General features: G+C 46.7%; 1 protein-coding gene and 1 long non-coding RNA gene across 2 annotated transcripts in view, besides 2 other annotated features; one reads left to right on the top strand and one right to left on the bottom strand.

The window, feature by feature from the left end:
* Positions 1-15,444, bottom strand: part of FLVCR2 (FLVCR choline and putative heme transporter 2) — a 69,548-nt gene extending 54,104 nt beyond the window's left edge. The window contains exon 1 of the mRNA NM_017791.3: positions 14,423-15,444. Within this exon, the coding sequence (NP_060261.2) occupies positions 14,423-15,091 (669 nt within the window). The 5' untranslated portion in view covers positions 15,092-15,444. The remainder of the gene's footprint in view (positions 1-14,422) is intronic.
* On the top strand, positions 14,476-19,163 carry FLVCR2-AS1 (FLVCR2 antisense RNA 1). Its single transcript, NR_110552.1, has 3 exons — positions 14,476-16,287; positions 17,519-17,659; positions 18,971-19,163. It is a non-coding gene; the product is annotated as an FLVCR2 antisense RNA 1 (long non-coding RNA).
* Positions 15,499-15,568: a silencer, noted in NCBI's record as "silent region_5949". NCBI's record gives its function as "represses an Ori minimal core promoter by ATAC-STARR-seq in GM12878 lymphoblastoid cells {active_cell/tissue: GM12878}" and the evidence as "EXISTENCE:reporter gene assay evidence [ECO:0000049][PMID:35858748]".
* Positions 16,279-16,338: an enhancer, noted in NCBI's record as "active region_8760". NCBI's record gives its function as "activates an Ori minimal core promoter by ATAC-STARR-seq in GM12878 lymphoblastoid cells {active_cell/tissue: GM12878}" and the evidence as "EXISTENCE:reporter gene assay evidence [ECO:0000049][PMID:35858748]".

Below are 21,818 nucleotides of genomic sequence, written 5' to 3'. Positions count from 1 at the left end.
AGAACTTAAGAGTGATGAACTAGGATATCTGGTGAAAGAAATTTCTAAGCAAAATATTGAAGGAGCTGTATTGCTACTTTGAAGCACATATAGTAAAACATGAGAGGAGAGAAATGACTAAAAGGTGGAATTAGTAATGAAAAAGAAAGCAGAGCAGAAAGATTTGGGAAATCTGAAGGCTGGCCATGTAGACTGAAAAAGTGTCCGTAGGAGAAAAACCAAGGGCGTGGCCAAGAAATCATTTGCTAAAAAAATTAGTAGACAGAAGGCAACCAGGCCTATTCATCAAGACAATGAGAGAAAAACCCTGAAGACATTTCAGAGATTGTCTAAGCAGGCTGGGGCCTTGAGGACAAGTGCTATGGTTCGGATATGATCTGAGTTTGTCCCCTCTTAAACTTATGTTGAAATTTTATCCCCAATGGGGTGGTGTTGGGAGGTGAGGCTTAGTGGGAGGCATTTGGATCATGGGGGAGGATCCTCCACCAGCTGATCTCATGGAAGCAGATTCTCACTCTCGCAAGACTAGATTAGTTCCTGCAGAAATGGGTGAGTTCCCATGATAGTGGGTTGTTTTAAAGCCAAGAGATCCCTTGGGTTTGCCTCTTTGCACGTGTCCACTTGCCCTTTAACCTTCTCTGTCATGTTATAATGTAGCATGAGAGCTACAACCCCCTGCAGGCTGCAGGCACGCCCTTGAATGTCCCAGCCTACAGAACAGTGAGGTAAATACACCTTTTCTTTATAAATGACCCAGTTTCAGGTATTCTGTTATAACAACACAAAATGATCTAAGACAGACAATTTGTACCAAGGAGTGGGGTTGTGCCATAAAGATACCTAAAAATGCAGAAGCAGCTTTGGAACTGGGTAACGGGCAGAAGTTGGAGGAGTTTGAAGAAATAGGCTAGAAAACACCTGAATTGCTGTGAACAGGGCATTAAGAGTAATTTTGATGAGGGCTCAGAAAAAGACAAAAAGATGAGGGAACGTTTGGAACTTCTCAGAGATTGGTTAGATGGTTATGACCAAAATGCTGATAGAAATATGGACAGTAAAGGCCATTCTGATGAAGGAAAGTAGCGTTTATTTGGAAACTAGAACAAAGGTCACCCATGTTATGCCACAGCAAAGAACTTGGCTGCATTGTGTCCATGCCTTAGGGCTTTATAAAATACCAAACTTAAAAATGATAACCTAGGGCATCTGGCAGGAGAAATTTCTTTTTTTTTTTCTTTTTAAAGGTGGGGTTTCACCATGTTGGCCAGGCTAGTCTCGAACTCCTGACCTCAGGTGATCCGCCCACCTCGGCCTCCCAAAGTGCTGTGATTACAGGCATGAGCCACCATGCCCGGCCTAGGCAGAAAAATTTCTAAGCAGCAAAATGCTCAAGACACAGTGTGGTTACTTTGACAGCTTAAACACAGCAAAGGAGTGACCTAAAGGTGAAATGTGTAAGAAGCAGAGCATTAAAATTTAGAAAATTTGCAGCCTGGCCAAGTGGTAGAGAATGAAAGAACATTTTCAGAAGAGGAATCTAAGGGTGCAGCCAAGGGACCTTTTGCTAAAGAGATTAGTTCTGACAGAAGGGAGCCAGGTACTAACAGAACAATGGAAAAAAGGCCCTGAAAGTATTTCAAAAGTCTAAGGCCATTCCTCCTGTCACAGACCCAGAGGCCTAGGAGGACAGAATGGTGGGATACCACTGCCCTGAGCCACCTCAGGATGCTTCTCCTAGCTGCTCTGGCCAGAGCAGCCATGGCCCAATAGCCCCAGGTACAGCTTGGGCCACTGCTCTGGAGAGTGCAAGCTGTGGGTCTTGGTGGCATCCATGTCCACATGGTACTATTGTTCATGCATGTGGAATGCAAGAGTGGTGGGCATGGCAGCTTCCACCTAGATTTCAGATGATGTATCAGCAAGCCTGGGAGCAGGCCAGGCACAGTGGCTCATGCTTGAAATCCCAACTCTTTAGGAGGATGAGGTGGGTGGATCACTTGAGTTCAGGAGTTCAAGAACAGCCTGGGCAAAATGGCAAGACCTCATCTCTACAAAACAAAAACAAAAACAAAAAAGAAACAAAATTAACCAGGTGCAGTGGTGCATGCCTGTAGTCCCAGCTACTTGGGAGGCTGAGGCTGGAAGATTGATTGAGCCTCAGAGGTCAAGGTACAGTGAGCTGTGATCACACCACTGCACTCCAGCCTGGGTGACAGAGTAAGACCCTTTGTCAAAAAAAAAAAAAAAAAAAAAAAAAGGAATGAAGAGAAAAAGAGAGCCTGGGAGCCTAGGCAGAAACCTGCCATGTGGGGGAGCCACCACAGACAGCCTCTGCTAAGACAATGCCAAGCAGAAATGTGAGGCCACAGCAGAGGACTCTTCTGCAAAGAGTCTTCACTAGGACAATGCCTAGTGGAGCCACAAGAGTAGGGCCACCGCAAGGACCCCAAAATGCTAAAGTCACTGGCAGCATGTGACCTCAGCCTGGCTAAGCTTCAGGCATTTGATTCCAACCTGTGAGTACAGCCATGTGGGCTATGTCCAGCAAAGCCATGTGATTCCAACCTGTGAGTACAGCCATGTGGGCTATGTCCAGCAAAGCCATGGGGAAAGGGCTGCCTGAGGCATTGGGAACCCCCTCCTGGCACTAGTGTGCCCAGGATGCAAAACATTGATCCAAAGGAGATTATTCTGGAGGTTTAAGATTTAAAGTCTGCTGGCCAGGGCTTGGTGTGGCTCATGCCTGTAATCCAGGCACTCTGAGAGGCCAAGGTGGTAGGATCACTAGAGTGCAGGCATTCGAGACCACTATGGGCAACATGGCGAAACTCCGTCTCTACAAAAAAATACAAAAATTACTGGGTGTGGTGACATGGCCTGTGGTTCCAGCTACTTGGCAGGCTGAGGTGGGAGGATCACTTGTGCCCAGGTGGCAGAAATTGCAGTGAGCCAAGAACTCACCACAGCAGTCCAGCCTGGGTGAAAGAGCAAGACCCTATGTTTGAATGGTAATTTTACCCAATGCCTGTGCAACCGTTGTATATTGGAAGTAAACAACTTGTTTTAGAGTTTATAAGCTCATACCTGGAAAGTATGTGCCTTGAGTTTCAGATGCAGTTTTGGACTTTGGACATTTGAGTTGATGCTGAAACAAGTGTATTATTCCATTCTCACATTGCTATGAAGGAATATTGGAGACTGCGTAATTGATAAAGAAAAGAGGTTTAATTTGCTCCCAGTTCTGCAGGCTGTATAGGAAGCATGATGCTGGCATCTGCTAGGGTTCTGGGAGGCCTCAGGAAACTTACAATCATGGCAGAAGGCAAAGGGGAAGCACACACATCACCTGGACAGAGTAGAAGCAAGAAAGAGAGAGAGGGAGGATGTCCTGTACTCTTTAAACAACCATATCTCATAAGAACTGACTGTCATGAGAATAGCATCAGGGAGACAGTGCTAAACCATGCATGAGAACTTTACTCCCATGAGACAATCTCCTCCCACCAGGCCCCACCTCCAATACTGGGGACTGCAATTCAACATGAGATTTGGTGGGGACACAGACCCAAACCATATCAGCAAGTTAAGACTCTCAGGACTATAGAGATGGAATGACTGTATTTTGTATGTGAAAGGACATGAGTTTTGGGGGGCTAACAGCAGAATACTATGGTTTGGATATGATTTGAGTCTATACCTATGAAAACTCATGTTGAAATTGGATTCTCAATAGAGCAGTGTTGGGCGGTAGTGCCTGGTAGGAAGTGTTTGGGTCACGTGGGCAGATCCCCCATGAACGGCTTGGTGCTGATCTCACAGTAGTGAGTTGTCACTCTCATGAAACTGGATTGTTCTCAAGGGAATGGATTAGTTCCTAAGAGAGTGGGTTGTTATAAAGCTAGGATGTCCCTAGGTTATGCCTCTTCACATGCATCCACTTCCCCTTTAACCTTCTCTGCATGTTAGGACACAGCACAGAAGCCCTTGCCAGAAGCCAGGGCCATGCCCTTGAACTTTTCATTTTGCAGAACCATGAGCTGAATAAATCTCTTTTCTTAGTTACTCAGTCTCGGGCATTATTATGGCAACACAAAATCGACTAAGACAGCAAGGTTTCCAGATAGTCACCGTGGGACCTCAGCATTCACTGTCCAGAGCTGCCTCAGAACTCTGCTCCTTGCATTCTGGCATGGCATTCCTTGGCTACCCCAGCCATGGCTCAAGTGGTCCCAGGTGTGGCTTGATCTGCTTCTCTAGAAAGTACAAACTATAAACTTTGGTGGCATCCACATGATGCTAATCTGCAGGCGCATATAATGCAAGAGCTATGGTGCCATGGTGGCTTCCATCTAGATTTCAGAGAATGTCATGAACAGCTTGGGGGCTCAGGCAGAGACTTGTTTCAGGGGCAGAGCCACTGCAGAGAGCCCCCACAAGGGTAATGCCTAGTGGAGCCATGGAAGTGTGGCTATCACCAAGACCCCAGAACTGTAGAGTTACCAGTGTGCAACACTGGCCTGAGAGAGCTGCAGGCATGAGACTCCAACTGTGAGAGCTGCTGGGTGGACTGAGCCCAGCAAAGCTGTAAGGGCAGGGCTGCCTGAGGCCTTGGGGGACCAGTCCCTTCCCCAGTGTGCCCTTCTTTGACATAAAGTCAAAGAAGATTATTCTCCAGCTTTAAGACTTAATGTTGTTTTCCCCGTTGAGTTTTGGACTTAATTGGGACCAGTTACCCTTTTCTTCTTGCCTATTTCTCCTTTTTGGTATGTGTGAATGTCTATCCTATCTCTGTCCCGCCATTGTATTTTGGAAGCATATAACTTGTTAGTTTTGGGGGGATGTTTTTGAAACAGGGTCTCTCTCTCTGTCACCAAGGCTGGAGTGCAGTGGCATGTACATGGTTCACTGCAGTCTTGACCTCCTGGGCTCAAGCGATCCTTGTACCTCAGCCTCCCAAGTAGCTGGGACTACAGGCATGTGCAACCATGCACAGCTTCTTTTTTTAAAAAAAAAAATGTTGTCCAGGCTGGTTCTTGTTAATTTCATAGGTTCAGAGGTGGAGAGGAATTTGCCTCATCATGAACGGTGCCTTGAGTCTCCCTCATATGTGATTTAGGTGAGACTCTAGAATTTGGGCATTTGAGTTGATGCTGGAACAAGTTAAGACTTTCAGGGCTATTGGGATAGAATGAATGTGTTTTGTCCAAGAGAAGGACATAAAATTCTGGGGTCCATGGAGAGAATACTATGGTTTGAATGTGTCCCTTAAAGTTCATGTGTTGGGGGGCCAGGTGCAGTGGCTCACGCCTGTAATCCAAACACTTTGGGAGGCCGAGGCAGGGGGATCACTTGAGGTCAGGAGTTCAAGACCATCCTGGCCAACATGGTGAAACCCTATCTCTCCTAAAAATACAAAAATTTTCTGGGCATGGTGACAGGTGCCTGTAATCCCAGTTACTCTGGAGGCTGAGGCAGAATTGCTTGAATCGGGAAGTGGAGATTGCAGTGAGCCAAGATGCTGTCTGTGAACTCCAGCCTGGGTGGCTAGAATGAGACTCTATCTCAAAACAAAAACAATAACAACAACAAAAGTTCATGTGTTGGAAATCTAATTCCCAATGTAACACTACTGAGACATGAGACCTTTAAGAGGTGATTAAGTCATGAGGGCTCTACCTTCATGAATGGATCAATGTCATTAAAATGAGGGTGGGTTTGTCATAAAAGTCAGTTTGGCCCTCTCTTGTACTCTTTCTTGAACATGAGATGCCATTCACCATGTTATGACGCAGCAAGAAGGCCATCACCAGATGCTGGTCGCTTGGCCTTGGACTGCCCAGCCTCTCAAACTGTAAGCTAAATAAATTTCTGTTCATTACAAATTACCCAGTCTGTGGTATTCTGTGACAGCAGCATAAAACAAACTAAGGCATTTACTAAAATAATTTCACCTTTTCTTTTTACTTAAAAAAAATTTACATCTTTAATGCGGCTGCTAGAAAATTTAGTTACATGTGACTTGCATTTGTGGTCTGCATTATATTTCTATTGGACAGTGCTATTTTAGACAGACAGCTGTGGTTTCTATAAGACTGGTTCTGTAAAGTGACTGTATTCACTTCTAAAAGCAAACTGATTCTTTCCTATTCTATTTCTAGATTGCACTGTGCTATGAGCTACCCAAAGGTCCTGGCGAAGTCCCCTCACAAACCTCCATCCTATAGGACTCTCACCTGGGTTAGGACCAGCCTCGAATATCTTTTTTAGATCTTGCATCTATCTCATCCAGTACTACCAAGGAAACAAGGTTTTCTTTTGACCCTTGCACAGTAACAATGTGTGCATATCTCTTAAAACCCCACACAGCTCATTTCCCCTTGAAACAATGCTACAAGTGTTGCTAAAAATTCCAGGCTGTTACTACCTGGGGGCAACTGGTCAGAGCATACCAAGAAAAGGGAAGGGCCTCAGTTGTATTCTCCAGGCTCATCTTCCCTCCCTCATCCCAGCTCTGGATTCACTGGTTTCTTCCTGCTAAAGACTCCACCCTCACCTTCTTGACAATACAATGACCATGCTAGGTTAGAAGAGGCAGAATCAGCCCTCTAGCAGCAACTTCAAAAAAGAAGACAAGTGTTAGGCCCTCAAACTCTAAACAAAACTGCTGGAAACTATCACCAATAACCCTGGAGACGGGGGGAAAAATTAAATCCTCAGAATCTGCCTTTTCTTTTTTTTTTACATGTATGCTTGATGCACAAGTAATACTGGCCTACTGAGAGTGGCTTTGAAGGTAGAACTGGGTTTAAATTTCTCTTTTACTACTCAGTAGTTATAGGACTCTGGATAAAGTTGCAAGATTTATCTGGATCACAGTTCCCTCTCCTGCAACAATGGGGACAATTTCACCAACCTCACAGAGTTGTTGAAAGGATTAAGTTAAATAATGGATGAAAAAGTACCTTGCATAATAGTGGGTATTTAATAGATATTAGCTTCCTTTACCTTCTTCAGCCTTTCCCATAGCAATTAGGTAAAGAAAATGCTAAAAACCCCATGGAGAACTGAAAATAAATCCTCTAGCTGAAAACAAATCCTCTATGCTATGATCTGTTCAGTTGTTGTGTGTTTGTTTGTTTTTTAATACAATCTGAATCTTGGCTCCTGGCACAATTTTTTAAAACCTGGTATAGTATGTCTTCGAAGGCAAAGATTATCTTTGCAGCCCTAGCACACTGTCTTGCAAAAACTAGATAAATGCTTGTCGAAAGGAAGAATGTTGGATTTTAATGCAAGCAGAAGGTAATGCTCCCGTGGAGTATGTAAGAAGCATTTGAACAGAGAGGTCAGAATTACCGGAGTACAAGCGTTATGGTGATCTGTGTGGTCAGGGTCAAAGTAAGGTGATTACCTTCCTGGTAGTAAAGATGAACAGAAGGGAAATTTGCCTTTAGAGAAGTTTTGTAAAGTTTCTGTTTTAAATGAAAAATTTCTAAATTAAAGGTTACATTTTCTAAATGAAATTAATAGATAGGAGAAAATAGTCCAATGAGAAGAACTGGGATTTGTCAGGCCTCTGAGCCCAAGCTAAGCCATCATATCCCCTCTGACTTGCACGTATACATCCAGATCGCCTGAAGCAACTGAAGATCCACAAAAGTGAAAATAGCCTTAACTGATGACATTCCATCATTGTGATTTGTTTCTGCCCCACCCTAACTGATCAATGTACTTTGTAATCTCCCCCACCCTTAAGAAGGTTCTTTGTAATTCTCCCCACCCTTGAGAATGTACTTTGTGAGATCCACCCACTGTCTGCAAAACATTGCTCCTAACCCACCGCCTATCCCAAAACCTGTAAGAATTAATGATAATTCCCGCCCTTTGCTGACTCCTTTTTCGGATTCAGCCTGCCTGCACCCAGGTGAAATAAGCAGCCTTGTTGCTCACACAAAGCCTGTTTGGTGGTCTCTTCACGTGGATGCGTGAGACATTTAGTGCCGAAGACCCAGGTCAGAGGGACTTCTTTAGGAGACCAGTCCCCTGTCCTCACCCTCACTCTGTGAAGAGATCCACCTACGACCTCGGGTCCTCAGACCAACCAGCCCAAGGAACATCTCACCAATTTCAATCGGGTAAGCGGTCTTTTCACTCTCTTCTCCAGCCTCTCTTGCTACCCTTCAATCTTCCTCTCTTGCTACCCATCAATCTCCCTGTCCTTCCAATTCCAGTTCTTTTTCCTCTCTAGTAGAGATAAAGGAGGCACATTTTATCCGTGGACCCAAAACTCCGGCACCGGTCATGGACTCGGGAAGGCAGCCTTCCCTTGGTGTTTAATCATTGCGGGGACGCCTGCCTGATAATTCACCCACACTCCATTGGTGTCTGACCACCGCGGGGACGCCTGCCTTGGTCATTCACCCACATTCCCTTGGTGGCAAGTCAATTGCGGGGACACCTGCTTTGGCTGCTCACCCACATTACAGCCCAGGGCTGCTCCCCACCCCCTTCTCTGTGTCTCTACCCTTCTCTTTAAACTTGCCTCCTTCACTATGGGCAACCTTCCACCCTCCATTCCTCCTTCTTCTCCCTTAGCCTGTGTTCTCAAGAACTTAAAACCTCTTCAACTCACACCTGACCTAAAAGTTAGCCTTATTTTCTTCTGCAATCCCGCTTGGCCCCAATACAAACTTGACAGTAGTTTCAAGTGACCAGAGAATGGCACTTTCGATCTGTCCATCCTACAAGATCTAGATAATTTTTGTCGAAAAATGGGCAAATGGTCTGAGGTGCCTGACATCCAGGCATTCTTTTACACATTAGTCCCTCCCTAGTCTCTGCTCCCATGCGACTCATCCCACATCTTTCTTCTTTCTCTCCTGTCTGTTCCTTCAGTCTCACCCCAAGCTCTGAGTCTTTTGAATTCTCCTTTTCTACAGACTCATCTGATCTCTCCCCTTCTCCCCAGGCTGCTCCTCGCCAGGCTGAGCCAGGCCCCAATTTCTCCTCAGCCTCTGCTCCCCCACCCTATAATCTTTCTATCACCTCCCCTCCTCACACACTGTCTGGTTTACAGTTTTCGTTCAGCGACTAGCCCTCCCCCACCTGCCCAACAATTTCCTCTTAAAGAGGTGGCTGGAGCTAAAGGCATAGTCAGGGTACATGTGCCTATCAGACCTTTCCCAAATCAGCCAGCATTTAGGCTCTTTCTTGTCAGACCCTACTAAATATATACAGGAATTCAAATATCTAACTCTGTCCTATAATTTAACCTGGAGTGACTTAAATGTCATCCTGACTTCTACCCTCTCCCCAGATGAACGGGAAAGAGTTTTTTCTCTAGCCCAATCTCACGCTGATAACTGCCGGCTTCACGAGCCAGACCTCCAGGAAGCATTAGAGCAGTTCCCCAAGAGGACCCCCAGTGGAACTTTCAGGCAGATTCCCCAGGTATAGATAGGTGAGATTACATGGTTTCCTGCCTAGTTGAAGGGCTTAAAAAGGCAGCTTACGAAGCTGTTAATTATGACAAACTTAGAGAAACTACCCGAGGTAAAGACGAAAACCCAGCCCAGTTCATGGCCCGCTTGGCAGCAACCCTTAGACGCTTTACCGCCCTAGACCCAGAGGGGCCGGAAGGCGCCTTATTCTCAATATGCATTTTATCACCCAGTCAGCTCCTGATGTTAGAAAAAAGCTTCAAAAATTGGAATCCGGCCCTCAAACCCCACAACAGGAATTAATCAACCTCGCCTTCAAGGTGTACAATAATAGGAGGTAGCCAGACAGTAACACATTTCTGAGTTACAGCTACTTGCCTCTGCTGTAAGACAGCCCACAACCACGTCTCCAGCATACAAAACCTTCAGAACATCCAAGCCACAGCTCCCAGGGGCACCTTCAAAACATCCTTGTGGACCTTGCTTCGAATGCCAGAAGCCTGGCCACTGGGCCTCAGAATGCCCGCAGCCCGGGATTCCTCCTAAGCCGTGCCATCTGTGCGGGCCCCCAGTGGAGGTCGGACTGTCCGACTCACATCGCGGCCACTCCTAAAGCCCCTGGAGCCCAAACCCAATGTTCCTTGGCCAACTCCTTCCCAGATCTCCTCGGCTTAGCAGCTGAAGACTGACGCTGCCCAATCGCCTCGGAAGCCCCCTGGACCGTCACAGACACTGAGCTTCAGGTAACTCTTACAGTGGAGGGCAAGTCCATCCCCTTCTTAATCAATATGGAGGCTACCAATTCCACATTACCTTCTTTTCAAGGGCCTGTTTCCCTTGCCTCCATAACTGTTGTGGGTATTGACGGCCAGGCTTCTAAACCTCTTAAAACTCCCCAGCTCTGGTGCCAACTTGGACAACATTCCTTTATGCACTCCTTTTTAGTTATCCCCACCTGCCCAGTTCCCTTATTAGGTCCGAGGCATTTTAACTAAATTATATGCTTCCCTGACTATTCCTAGGCTACAGCCACACCTCATTCCTGCCCTTTTCCCCAGTTCAAAGCCTCCTTCGCGTCTTCCTCTCGTATCCCCCCACCTTAACCCACAAGTATGGGATACCTCTACTTTCTCCCTGGCAACCGATCACGAGCCCATTACTATCCCATTAAAATCTAATCACTCTTACCCCACTCAACACCAATATCCCATCCCACAGCATGCTTTAAAAGGATTAAAGCCTGTTATCACTCGCTTGTTACAGCATGGCCTTTTAAAGCCTATAAACTCTCCCTACAATTCCGCCATTTCACCTGTCCAAAAACCGGACAAGCCTTCCAGGTTGGTTCAGGATCTGCGCCTTATCAACCAAATTGTCTTGTCTATCCAGTCCGTGGTGCCAAAGCCATATACTCTCCTATCCTCAATGCCTCCCTCCACAACCCCTCCATAACCGATTATTCTGTTCTGGATCTCAAACATGCTTTCTTTACTATTCCTTTGCACCCTTCATCCCAGCCTCTCTTCGCTTTCACTTGGACTGACCCTGATGCCCATCAGCCTCAGCAACTTATCTGGGCTGTACTGCCACAAGGCTTCAAGGACAGCGCCCATTACTTCAGTCAAGCCCAAACTTCGTCTTCATCTGTTACCTATCTTGGCATAATTCTTAATGAAAACAATGTGCTCTCCCTGCTGATCGTGTCCAGCTAATCTCCCAAACCCCAACACCTTCTACAAAACAACTTCTTTCCTTCCTAGGCATGGTTAGGTACTTCCGCCTTTGGATACCTAGTTTTACCATCCTGACTAAACCATTTTATAAACTCACAAAAGCAAACCTAGCTGACCCCATAGATCCTAAATCCTTTCGCCACTCCTCTTTCCGTTCCTTAAAAACAGCCCTAGAAGCTGCCCCCACACAAGATCTCCCTAACTCATCCCAACCCTTTTCATAACACACAGCCAAAGTACAGGGCTGTGCCATCAAAATTCTTACACAACAGCCGGGACCACACCCTGTAGCCTTTCTGTCCAAACAACTTGACCTTACTGTTTTAGGCTGGCCATCATGTCTCCGTGTGGCAGCCGCCACTGCCCTAATACTTTTAGAGGCCCTCAAAATCACAAACTATGCTCAACTCACTCTCTACAGTTCTCATAACTTCCAAAATCTATTTTCTTCCTCACACCTGATGCATATACTTTCTGCCCCCCTCCACTACCTCTCAGCAAGCCAAACTCATTGCCTTAACTCGAGCCCTCACTCTTGCGAAGGGACTACATGTCAATATTTATACTGACTCTAAATAGGCCTTCCATATCCTACACCACCATGCTGTTATATGGGCTGAAAGAGGTTTCCTCACTATGCAAGGGTCCTCCATCATTAATGCCTCCTTAATAAAAACTCTTCTCAAGGCTGCTTTACTTCCAAAGGAAGCTGGAGTCATACACTGCAAGGGCCATCAAAAGGCATCAGATCTCATCACTCAGGGCAATGCTTATGCTGATATGGTAGCTAAAGAAGCAGCTAGCATTACAACTTCTGTCCCTCACGGCCAGTTTTTCTCCTTCTCATCGGTCACTCCCACCTACTCTCCCACTGAAACTTCAACCTACCAATCTCTTCCCACACAAGGCAAACGGTTCTTGGACCAAGGAAAATATCTCCTTTCAGCCTCACAGGCCCATTCTATTCTGTTGTCATTTCATAACCTCTTCCATGTGGGTTCCCGCCTCTTAGAACCTCTCATTTCCTTTCCATCATGGAAATCTATCCTAAAGGAAATCACTTCTCAGTGTTCCATTTGCTATTCTACTACTCCTCAGGGATTGTTCAGGCCCCCTCCCTTCCCTACATATCAAGCTTGGGGATTTGCCCCCGCCCAGGACTGGCAAATTGACTTTACTCACATGCCCCGAGTCAGGAAACTAAAATACCTCTTGGTCTGGGTAGACACTTTCACTGGATGGGTAGAGGCCTTTCCCACAGGGTCTGAGAAGGCCACTGCGGTCATTTCTTCCCTTCTGTCAGACATAATTCCTCAGTTTGGCCTTCCCACCTCTATACAGTCCAATAACGGACCAGCCTTTACTAGTGGAATCACCCAAGCAGTTTCTCAGGCTCTTGGTATTCAGTAAAACCTTCATACCCCTTACCGTCCTCAATCTTCAAGAAAGGTAGAATGGACTAACGGTCTTTTAAAAACACACCTCACCAAGCTCAGCTTCAAACTTAAAAAAGAGGACTCTGTCAAGAATAGAGCCCAAAAACTCACCAAACAAACAAGTAATTATGCTAAATCCCCTTGGACCCCTTTGGACACTCTCTAATTAGATGTCCTAGGTCCTCCCAATTCTTAGTCCTTTAATACCTGTTTTTCTCCTTCTCTTTTTCAGACCTTGTGTCTTCCGTTTAGTTTCTCAATTCATACAAAACCGCATCCAGGCCATCACCAATCATTCTATACGACCAATGTTTCTTCTAACAACCCCACAGTATCACCCCTTACCCCAAAACCGTTCTTCAGCTGAGTCTCTCCCACTGTAGGTTCCCACGCTGCCCCTAATCCCGCTCGAAGCAGTCCTGAGAAACATCTCCCATTATCTCTCCATACCACCCCCAAAATTTTTCGCTGCTCCAACACTTCACTATTTTGTTTTGCTTTTCTTATTAATATAAGAAGACAGGAATGTCAGGCCTCTGAGCCCAAGCTAAGCCATCCTATCCCCTGTGACCTGCATGCTTCAGGCAATCCAGATTGCCTGAAGCAACTGAAGATCCACAAAAAAAGTGAAAATAGCCTTAACTGATTTCATTCCACCATTGTGATTTGTTTCGCCCCACCCTAATTGATCAATGTACTTTGTAATTTCCCCCACCCTTAAGAAGGCTCTTTGTAATTCTCCCCACCCTTGAGAATGTACTTTGAGATCCACCCTGTCTGAAAAACATTGCTCCTAACTCCACCACCTATCCCAAAACCTATAAGAACTGATGATAATCCACCACCCTTTGCTGACTCCTTTTTCAGACTCAGCCTGCTTACACCCAGGTGAAATAAACAGCCTTGTTGCTCACACAAAGCCTGTTTGGTGGTCTCTTCACATGGACGTGTGAGACAGGATTACCAATCCTTTGTTAAACACACAGCCAGGACTGTACGTGCTTGGAAAGATGCGAGACTGGGAGGCAGTGGTCTGGCTAAAGGACGTTTGCTTTAAATATTCCCATAAATATTTGCTTCGAGTATTTGGAGACGGCATTCAGGTTCACAACCTGCCCAGCTTTCTGGATCATAACCACATTGAGATGCAAAGAATTTGAGCTTCTCCTTCCAATAAGAAAGAAAGAGAAAAAGATTAAGACATGAACTACCCTTTCTAGGCCATGGAAACTCAGAGTGAGATTTCTACTCCATCCTGCTGGACTTGGCTCTAAATCCCAGGCAAGGAGTTTGGCACAAAGCACTGCTCCCACTGTCCTGGCTTCAGCTGTGTGTAAAACAAGGTAAAAGCAGTGCCAAACACCACCAGGCATGGCTTTGCAATTCTATGCAGTAGAGGAGATACTGCACTCTAGGAAAGCTGGTTGGTCCAACTGAAAGCACTGCCAAGTTCTGATGACACCAGAATAGTCTGATGCCCAGGGGCTGCTGCCAGACAGAAGAGCATTCCTGAAATTACAGGTCTAAGTTGGTGGACTGACACAGGTTCGAGAACGACACAGCGAAGGTATAGTATGTTCTAGAAGCATGCTTTTGGCTGGGGCAAGAGCAACTGTGGATGAAAGAGCAGGTCCCCCTGCTTTTGTTTCCCGCCTCTCTTACAGCATCACAATCACTGCCTGTCACACCCAGTTACTGTCACCCAGAGTCACAAACACTGTTGGACAATCAGCAAATTATAGCCTACCACACCCAATAGTTAGGTGCAATCTAACACACGCCCCTGGGAACATTCACAAACTGTTCTACCTACCTGATTGCCAAAGACAGCCACGGAGCAGGCTGTTGAAACCTCATTAGCCCCGAACCAGACGGAAGCGATGCGGGAGGGCATGCCCAGGATGAAAACCTGGGCCACAGAGCAGATGAGCTGGCCCACCACGGTGACCGGAAAGAGATGCGGCTTCAGGCTGCCCAGCTTCACCCAGGCCCCCAGGCAGTTGAGAGCCGAGCCAGTGAGAGCAATGGTGCGCAGGCCGAACTTCTCCAGCAGCCAAGCCACTGGCAGGAGCAGAGGGATGTAAGTCAGCATGTAGCACATGGACAGCCAGTCAATGGCAAAGGCACTGACACCGTAGAAGTGCATGAAGATGTTATTGATGGAGCCGTACTGGATCCACTGAAAGGAGTTGCACATGGAGTAGCAGCTAAACACCAGGACCACGGCCCAACGGCGCCTGCTCACCTTGATCACGCTGAGGTCCTCAGGGCCCGAGCTACTGGGGTGAGCCAAGCCACTGGGTTGGGCTAAGGCACTGGGGTGGGCCGAACTGCTGGGGTGGACAGAGACGCTGGGGTTGATGGAGACGCTGGGATGGACCGAGACGCTGGGATGGACCGAGACGCTGGGGTCCGCTTGGAGTGCGGACTCCGGCACAGGGGTGTCATCGCTCTCTTCCTGGTTGGGACCTTCATTCACCATCGCCACAGTCTCCTCTGGAATCCTGGAGAAGTGGTGAGGACTCCGGCAGTCTTAAGGGACAGTGGCCTCTGCTGGTCTCTTAGAGTTGAAAGGACACTTGCCTATTCCAGAAGAAACAGAGACTAGAGGCTGCGTAAAAGCCTCAAGTGGGGCTTCCTGTGCTCACCTCCAAGCTCCTGCTCCCACTTTTGCTTGGGGCTCTCTGTTGCCACCCGCGGCGATCGCTGTCCCAAGGCCGGCCGCACACGCCGCAGCCGGCTCCGGACCGCTCCTGCCTTGGGTCTCCCCACGAGGCGTTCCTTGTGCAGGAAAAGTTCTCTCCTTGCGCAGCCACTTCGCCCGCAGAGTCCTCTCCCGGGCCAGCTTGGGGCCTCGCCCAGTCGGGCACACGTGACCGCCCCGCCCCCGTCCTGCCTGGCTTCTTCCGCCCCCAACCCCCCCGCCACCACTCCACCCCCGACCCAGTGTCTCTTGCCTTCTCGAGCCCGGTCCTCCGGGCAGAGCAGTTGTTTCGCCACAGCTTGCGGGATGCATTCCTCCCCCACGCCCCGGGCGCCATGGAAACCGCCCGGTTAACCCCCACCCTTTGCACTGCCCCTCATATTCATTTGCCACCCGCTATCAGCGGACCCTGCAAGAAGATCCGCCTTCCCGAAGTAATGCCCAAAATAGAGCCTCTCCGGTGCCTGTCCGCATGCCCTGCGCGCGTGCACCAAAGCCCGGCGCCACCTAAGTGTTCTGGGGAATTCAAGAGGGATTCCCCAACTTTCTCCCCCTTGGCTTAGGCTCCCAGCCCTTTGCTGAACTAAAGAGAGATTTGTAGATTTCCCGGGCTGGTTGCGCTCCTGGGTTAAAGGGGAGTTACAGAAAACTCGCTTTACTCGCTTCTTTCCCTGCGGACGTGGTTTTGTCTTGGGGAGGTTAGATTTGAACCTGTTATGTGGGGCTATTTTTCCTGATGGATTCTGGGCGAAGACCCTAGGGTGCGGGGGAGGGAAAGGAGAGTTTGAAGAAGCCGAAGAAGCTGTCCGCGGTTGTGTGATGGAACGCTTAGCACAGAGCTGGCTCCGGGCTTGGTCTTGGAAGCGGTCTTTGAACTCAAGCAGCCCTAGTCTGCCACCTGCCGGTCCTAGCCCATTTCAAAGGGCAAACCCTCGACTCGTTGCACTGACCTCTGTCCTTGGCGAGGGATCCTGGTAAGGAGCCCAAATTCTCCCTGAGTTCAAACACCAGCTTAGCTACAATGAGGTGCCACTGTAGACCAAGGAACTCCACCTCTCTGCGCTTCAGTTTCTTCATCTGTAAAATGGAAATGATGAAATAATAGTACCTACCTCACCGTGTTGTTCTGAGACTTGAATGAATTAATACACGAATGCACTTAGAAAATTCCTGCCACATAGTAAGCATTCCGCGAATGCTGGCTATCCTAGCAAAAAGCTAACATTTGTTGTACAGTGCTAAACAAATTGAATGCATTAGCTCATTTATGCATCACAAGAATTCTGTGATAAAGTTACTATTGCTGGCCTAAATTTTATAGACAAGAAAACCCAGACTCAGAGAAGTGAAGTAACTTCTTTCTGAAGGTCCCAGCTGGCAAGAAGAGCCATAATTCTCGTTCAAGTCTGTAATCATTCAAGCTGTAGCCTAGCTATTCAAGCACAGTCTGTGGTTAGCAGCGTGGGCACCTGTGGGAGCTTTTTAGAAGGCCAGAATCCCCTCCAGTGTTAAGGCCTTAAAAAACAAAACGGCAACCACAAAACAACCAAGAAGGTTGTCAGGCCCAACCTAGACCCACTGAATTGAAAGCTGCATTTTAACAAGATGCCCAGGAGATTCATTTGTTTACACATTAAATTTTGAGAGCTACTGGGCATCACTGCTTCTTTATTTTTTTTTTCTTTGTTAAACTTCAGACCAGAAAATGAATAACTTGAAGCTCTGGGAAGTGGCTCTCCATTTTGTCTGCACATTAGAATCATATGAAGAAACTCTTAATATCCCAAGTGTTCGGGCAACACCCCATTTAGCGATCTCCGAGGGTGGACCTGAACATCTGCATGTCACAAGCTCCGCTGGTCATCCAAACGTGCAGCCAAGTTAGAACCACTGATTCCCAGGAGAGAACTAGATTCAAATGATCACTCCCTGCTTGAAGGCACCTACTTTTTGGTAGAAACTATAGAGTCTTGGATTATAATGGAATATTTGGAGAGGGAGTTCAGACTCAGATCTAAGAATTTCTACAGTAATTTAACATCTCGTATTGTCACTATTCCTCCTGTGTTTCCCATCATTCTCCAGGGAGCACAGAACTCTGTTCTTTTAGAAGGCCTTCTGAGACCTCTCACTGCTTCTTTTCCCTCGGTCATCATGGGCCTCTTCCAAAACTCTTCATAATATATTCTTAACTTCATTTTACAGATAAGGAAACTGAGGCCTGGAGAGGCGGGTGTGTTACTCAGCGTCCTATAGTGAAATAGCATCAGAACAAGCAGCAATAAAATGGGTGCTCCTTCCACGTGGCCTTTCCCATGAGCTCTTCTGGGGCAGCCCTTCAGCTTGGTGAGAGATTCCAAGGGGTCTAACCTGGGATTCAAGTGAGATTTGGAATTGCTTTTGTGGTGGAACGAGCTGGATCTGTTGTGAGATCTGGGTTGGGTCTGCTTAGACTTGAAGCTCTGTTTTGTCATTCTTAGCTTTGGTATCTTGAGCAAGTCACTTGACCTCTCTATTCTTCAGTTTCTGAATCTATCAAATAAGGATTAAAAATACCTGCCTCCAGCCTGGCACGGTGGCTCACACTTGTAATCTCAGCACTTCGGGATGCCGAGATGGGTGGATCACTTGAGGTCAGGAGTTCAAGACCACCCTGGCCAACATGGTGAAACCCCGTCTCTACTAAAAATACAAAAATTAGCCAGGTGTGGTGGCACATGCCTGTAATCTCAGCTACTTGGGAGGCTGAGGCAGGAGAATCACTTGAACCTGGGAGGCAGAGGCTGCAGTGAGCTGAGATGGCACTACTGCATTCCAGCCTGAGAGACAGAGCGAGACTCTGTCTCAAAAACAAAAAAACAAAACAAACAAAAACCTGCCTCATAGAATTGCTGTGAGAATTAAACAAGCTAATATGCATAAACTGTTTTCAATAATAATGATCATATTCTGGGAGCCACCAGGGTAGGGATGACTCTTGGCTGATTCCTAATGTGGGGGGTAGGGTGTTGGGGTCATCTCTATAAATATTGGGTAGATACTACATAGAGAGAAATATTCTGTATTCATCCCATTGAAAAAACATGTATTGAGCAGCTTACTATGTAGCATATCTATCTTTATGATGTTCTTACTATGTAGCATATCTATCTTTATGATGTTCTATCTATCAGTACCTATAGGTACACTTTGAAGGGTAAGGAGAAATACATTTTAGGGATTGCTTCCTGAAAGGGGGCTCTGGTTCCTGGTTCCTGGCTCTATTCCAACTGACACCTTAGGAAGCTTGAGGGAACGAACCTCTGGCATTGAACTCAAGCTTGTGTGGCCTCTTGCAGAATGATAGTTAAGTCAGCCCACTGGAGGCTATCAGCAACTCCTGGATTCAAAGCCAAAACATCACCCTCTTATTTATAGCTTACTACTAGCCAAACAGAGCTATAGATTTAAGAGGTAAGGAGTTTGTTGAGTGCAGGGGAAGGCCAAATTTCTAACAGAATGAATCAGGTTGGGAGCCGGCATTATTCTTTCTTAAAAATATCAACACTTGGAATTTGTGAAAATGTTGCCCTTACAAGTTTTACATGCATAATTTATATGTGTGATACTACATGCTCATCAATATTCTGTTTGCCTTATCTCCCCCACTTCCCTCAGATTTCTAGCTGTCTCAGGACTTGTGGATATTTTTGTATATTTTGGAGTGTTTAGTGAGATAAACTATGTAACACACGCTCTCAATACGTATCTGTAGAATTGAGTTGTACTGCATATCACCATGAAATTTTACAAAACTGGAGACAAAGAGGAGATCCAACAGGATTTCAGAGATTTTAAAAAATCAGAAAAAGTTAAAAAAAAAAAACCAGATACAAAATATCAACACAGTTGCCTCAAGCCTGGAAATTTGAAGTCAGTGGAACAATGCCTTCTGAAGAAAAACCGTTTCTTACCTAGAATGCTATATCCAAACTACCAAAAAATCAGTTTGAGAAGAGAGTGAAACAACAAATGATACTGCCTTATCTTCTCTCTCAGGAAGCTGCTGAAGGATGTGCTCCACCAAAACAAGGAAGGAAACCTAGAGAGGGGAAGAGGTTAAGGCTGAGGAAACCGGGAATCCGCCACAAAAGGCAAACAATGGGAATCACCCAGCTAAAGGAAACTCCTGGGTAGACAGCTATCTACCAGGCATAAAAAGCAGTGTACTCGGCTGGTCGTGGTGGCTCATGCCTGTAATCCCAGCACTTTGGGAGGCTGAGGCGGGTGGATCACCTGAGGTCAGGAGTTCTAGATCGGCCTGGCCAACATGGTGAAACCCCATCTCTACTAAAAATACAAAAATTAGCCGGGCGTGGTGGCAGGCACCTGTAATCCCAGTTACTCAGGAGGCTGAGGCAGGAGAATCGCTTGAACCCAGGAGGCAGAGGTTGCAATGAGCCGAGATCGTGCCATCGCACTCCAGCTGGGGGGACAAGAGCAAGACTTTGTCCCCCCAAAAAAAAGAAAAAAGAAAAAAAAAGAAAGCAGCATACTCAGGCTGAAGCTGCTTTGAAGACTCCAAGGAAGAGTTCTTCAAGAAAGTCACACTGAAAGAATCATGTTTGAAAATATTGAGAGGTTTACACAATAGGGGGAAGATTAGGGGTTGGACTAATGATAAGTACCATAAATATAACTAAGTAAATGGGGAAAAGGAAGCATTATTAACTCCAGTGGAATAAACAAACTATGGAGGAAAAGGAAAAAATAATCATGATATACCCTAAGTGATTTGATTTGCATAGCATGAACACAATCCTAATAAAGTGAACACTGGGAGTTGATGTATCTAAAGCTATGATATAACACAGTTAGCAGGATGGGGGAGTGGGAAGCGGGCACCTGTGCAGGGTTGAGATGAGGGTGGGGTAAACAGTTAAACAAGGAGAATGGGGCCGGGCACGGTGGCTCACACCTGTAATCCCAGCCCTTTGGGATGCCGACGATGGTGGATTGCTTGAGCTCGGGAGTTCGAGACCAGGCTGGGGAACATAGCTAGACCCTGTCTCTATCAAAAGCAGAAACAAAAACCAAAAACTAAAAACAAGGAGAGCTGGTTTTCTTCCCTGGGGTTTTGGCAGAAGCACATTCCCTTCAAGGACAAACTTGGAGAATCTCTGAGCAGACCCCGGAGGAGAAGGAATCTAGACTCCAATCATGCGATTTGTCTGCCGTATAGAAAAGGCTATGGCATGCAAATGCCTAACATGGAAAAAGTCCGGAAGTGTTAATAAACCCGTGGCACTTACAGCTATGGTGGTTAAGTACCAAAAGAATTGAGAAGAGTTGGAAGTACTTGCCTCTGGAGCGCAGGAAAGGGGGGTACACAACTGATATGTTTCATACATGATTATTTTATTGTTTGAACTATGTATAACTAATATTTTTTCTTTTTTCTTTTTTTTGAGAAGGAGTCTTGCTCTGTCGCCCAGGCTGGAGTGCGGTGGTGCGATCTTGGCTTATTGCAACCTCTGCCTCCCAGGTTCAAGCGATTCTCCTGCCTCAGCCTCCCGAGTAGCTGAGACTACAGGCGCACGCTACCATGCCTGGCTAATTTTTTGTATTTCGTTGTAGAGACGGGGTTTCACTGTATTAGCCAGGATGGTCTTGATCTCCTGACCTCGTGATCTGCCTGCCTACCTCAGCCTCCCAAAGTGCTGGGATTACAGGCGTGAGCCACTGTGCCCAGCCAACTAATTTTTTTGAACTTAAAAAAAATCCTAAAATTAAAAAATGGAATCAAATTTAACCGAGCTCCAGCTGTTTCACTGGAGCCCATAGGTGATGTCTCAAAGTGTGGTCAACTTGTCCTAGAGTTTATACTGTTGGTGCTATGATGGACACCCAAGACTTCAACTCTGGAACCTCAGGGATGCCTCTTCAGCCAAGCTATGTCCTCCAAAGTCCATTAGGGCGTCTCCTCAGAGAAATTGTGTGTGTAGTCAGAGGACCTATTCCCCACATCCTAGTCTTGTTTGACCATTCCCTGGCCTTCTTTTTGCTTCTAACGTCTTTCATACTTATAGAGTCTGTGGGCTCTTATCCCTACAACTTACAACTCAACTTCCGTCCCATCATCCAAAGACCTGTGCCAAGGTCTACTTCTCTGGAGTTCTCTCTGTCGACAAAGCGCACCACTAGCTCCCAGTGAGCCAAGCCTGAAGACTAAGGATTCCCCAGATCCCCCTTCACTCACTCTCAGTGTCACAGATGCTTCTTTCCTTACAGTCTTCCCTCCTGTCCTTTCTCACTGCCACCACCCTGCTGCAGCCTCTCCTGGCTTCTCACCTCCAACCCACGGCTGCCTCCTCGTTGTTCTCGCTCCTTCCAGTTCAGCCGGATGTCGCCTCACAGGATTTTCCAGTTCTCTTCAGGTCACTCCCTGCCTTGAACCCTCCAGTGGCCACCAAAACAAGGAAGGAAACCTAGAGAGGGTGAGAGGTTAAGGCTGAGGAAACCAGGA

The sequence above is a fragment of the Homo sapiens genome, chromosome 14 (genome assembly GCF_000001405.40).
Source record: "Homo sapiens chromosome 14, GRCh38.p14 Primary Assembly".
Classification (NCBI taxonomy): Eukaryota; Metazoa; Chordata; class Mammalia; order Primates; family Hominidae; genus Homo; species Homo sapiens.
The sequence above is the reverse complement of the archived record's forward strand: the minus strand, read 5'-3'. Positions and strand labels throughout refer to the sequence as shown.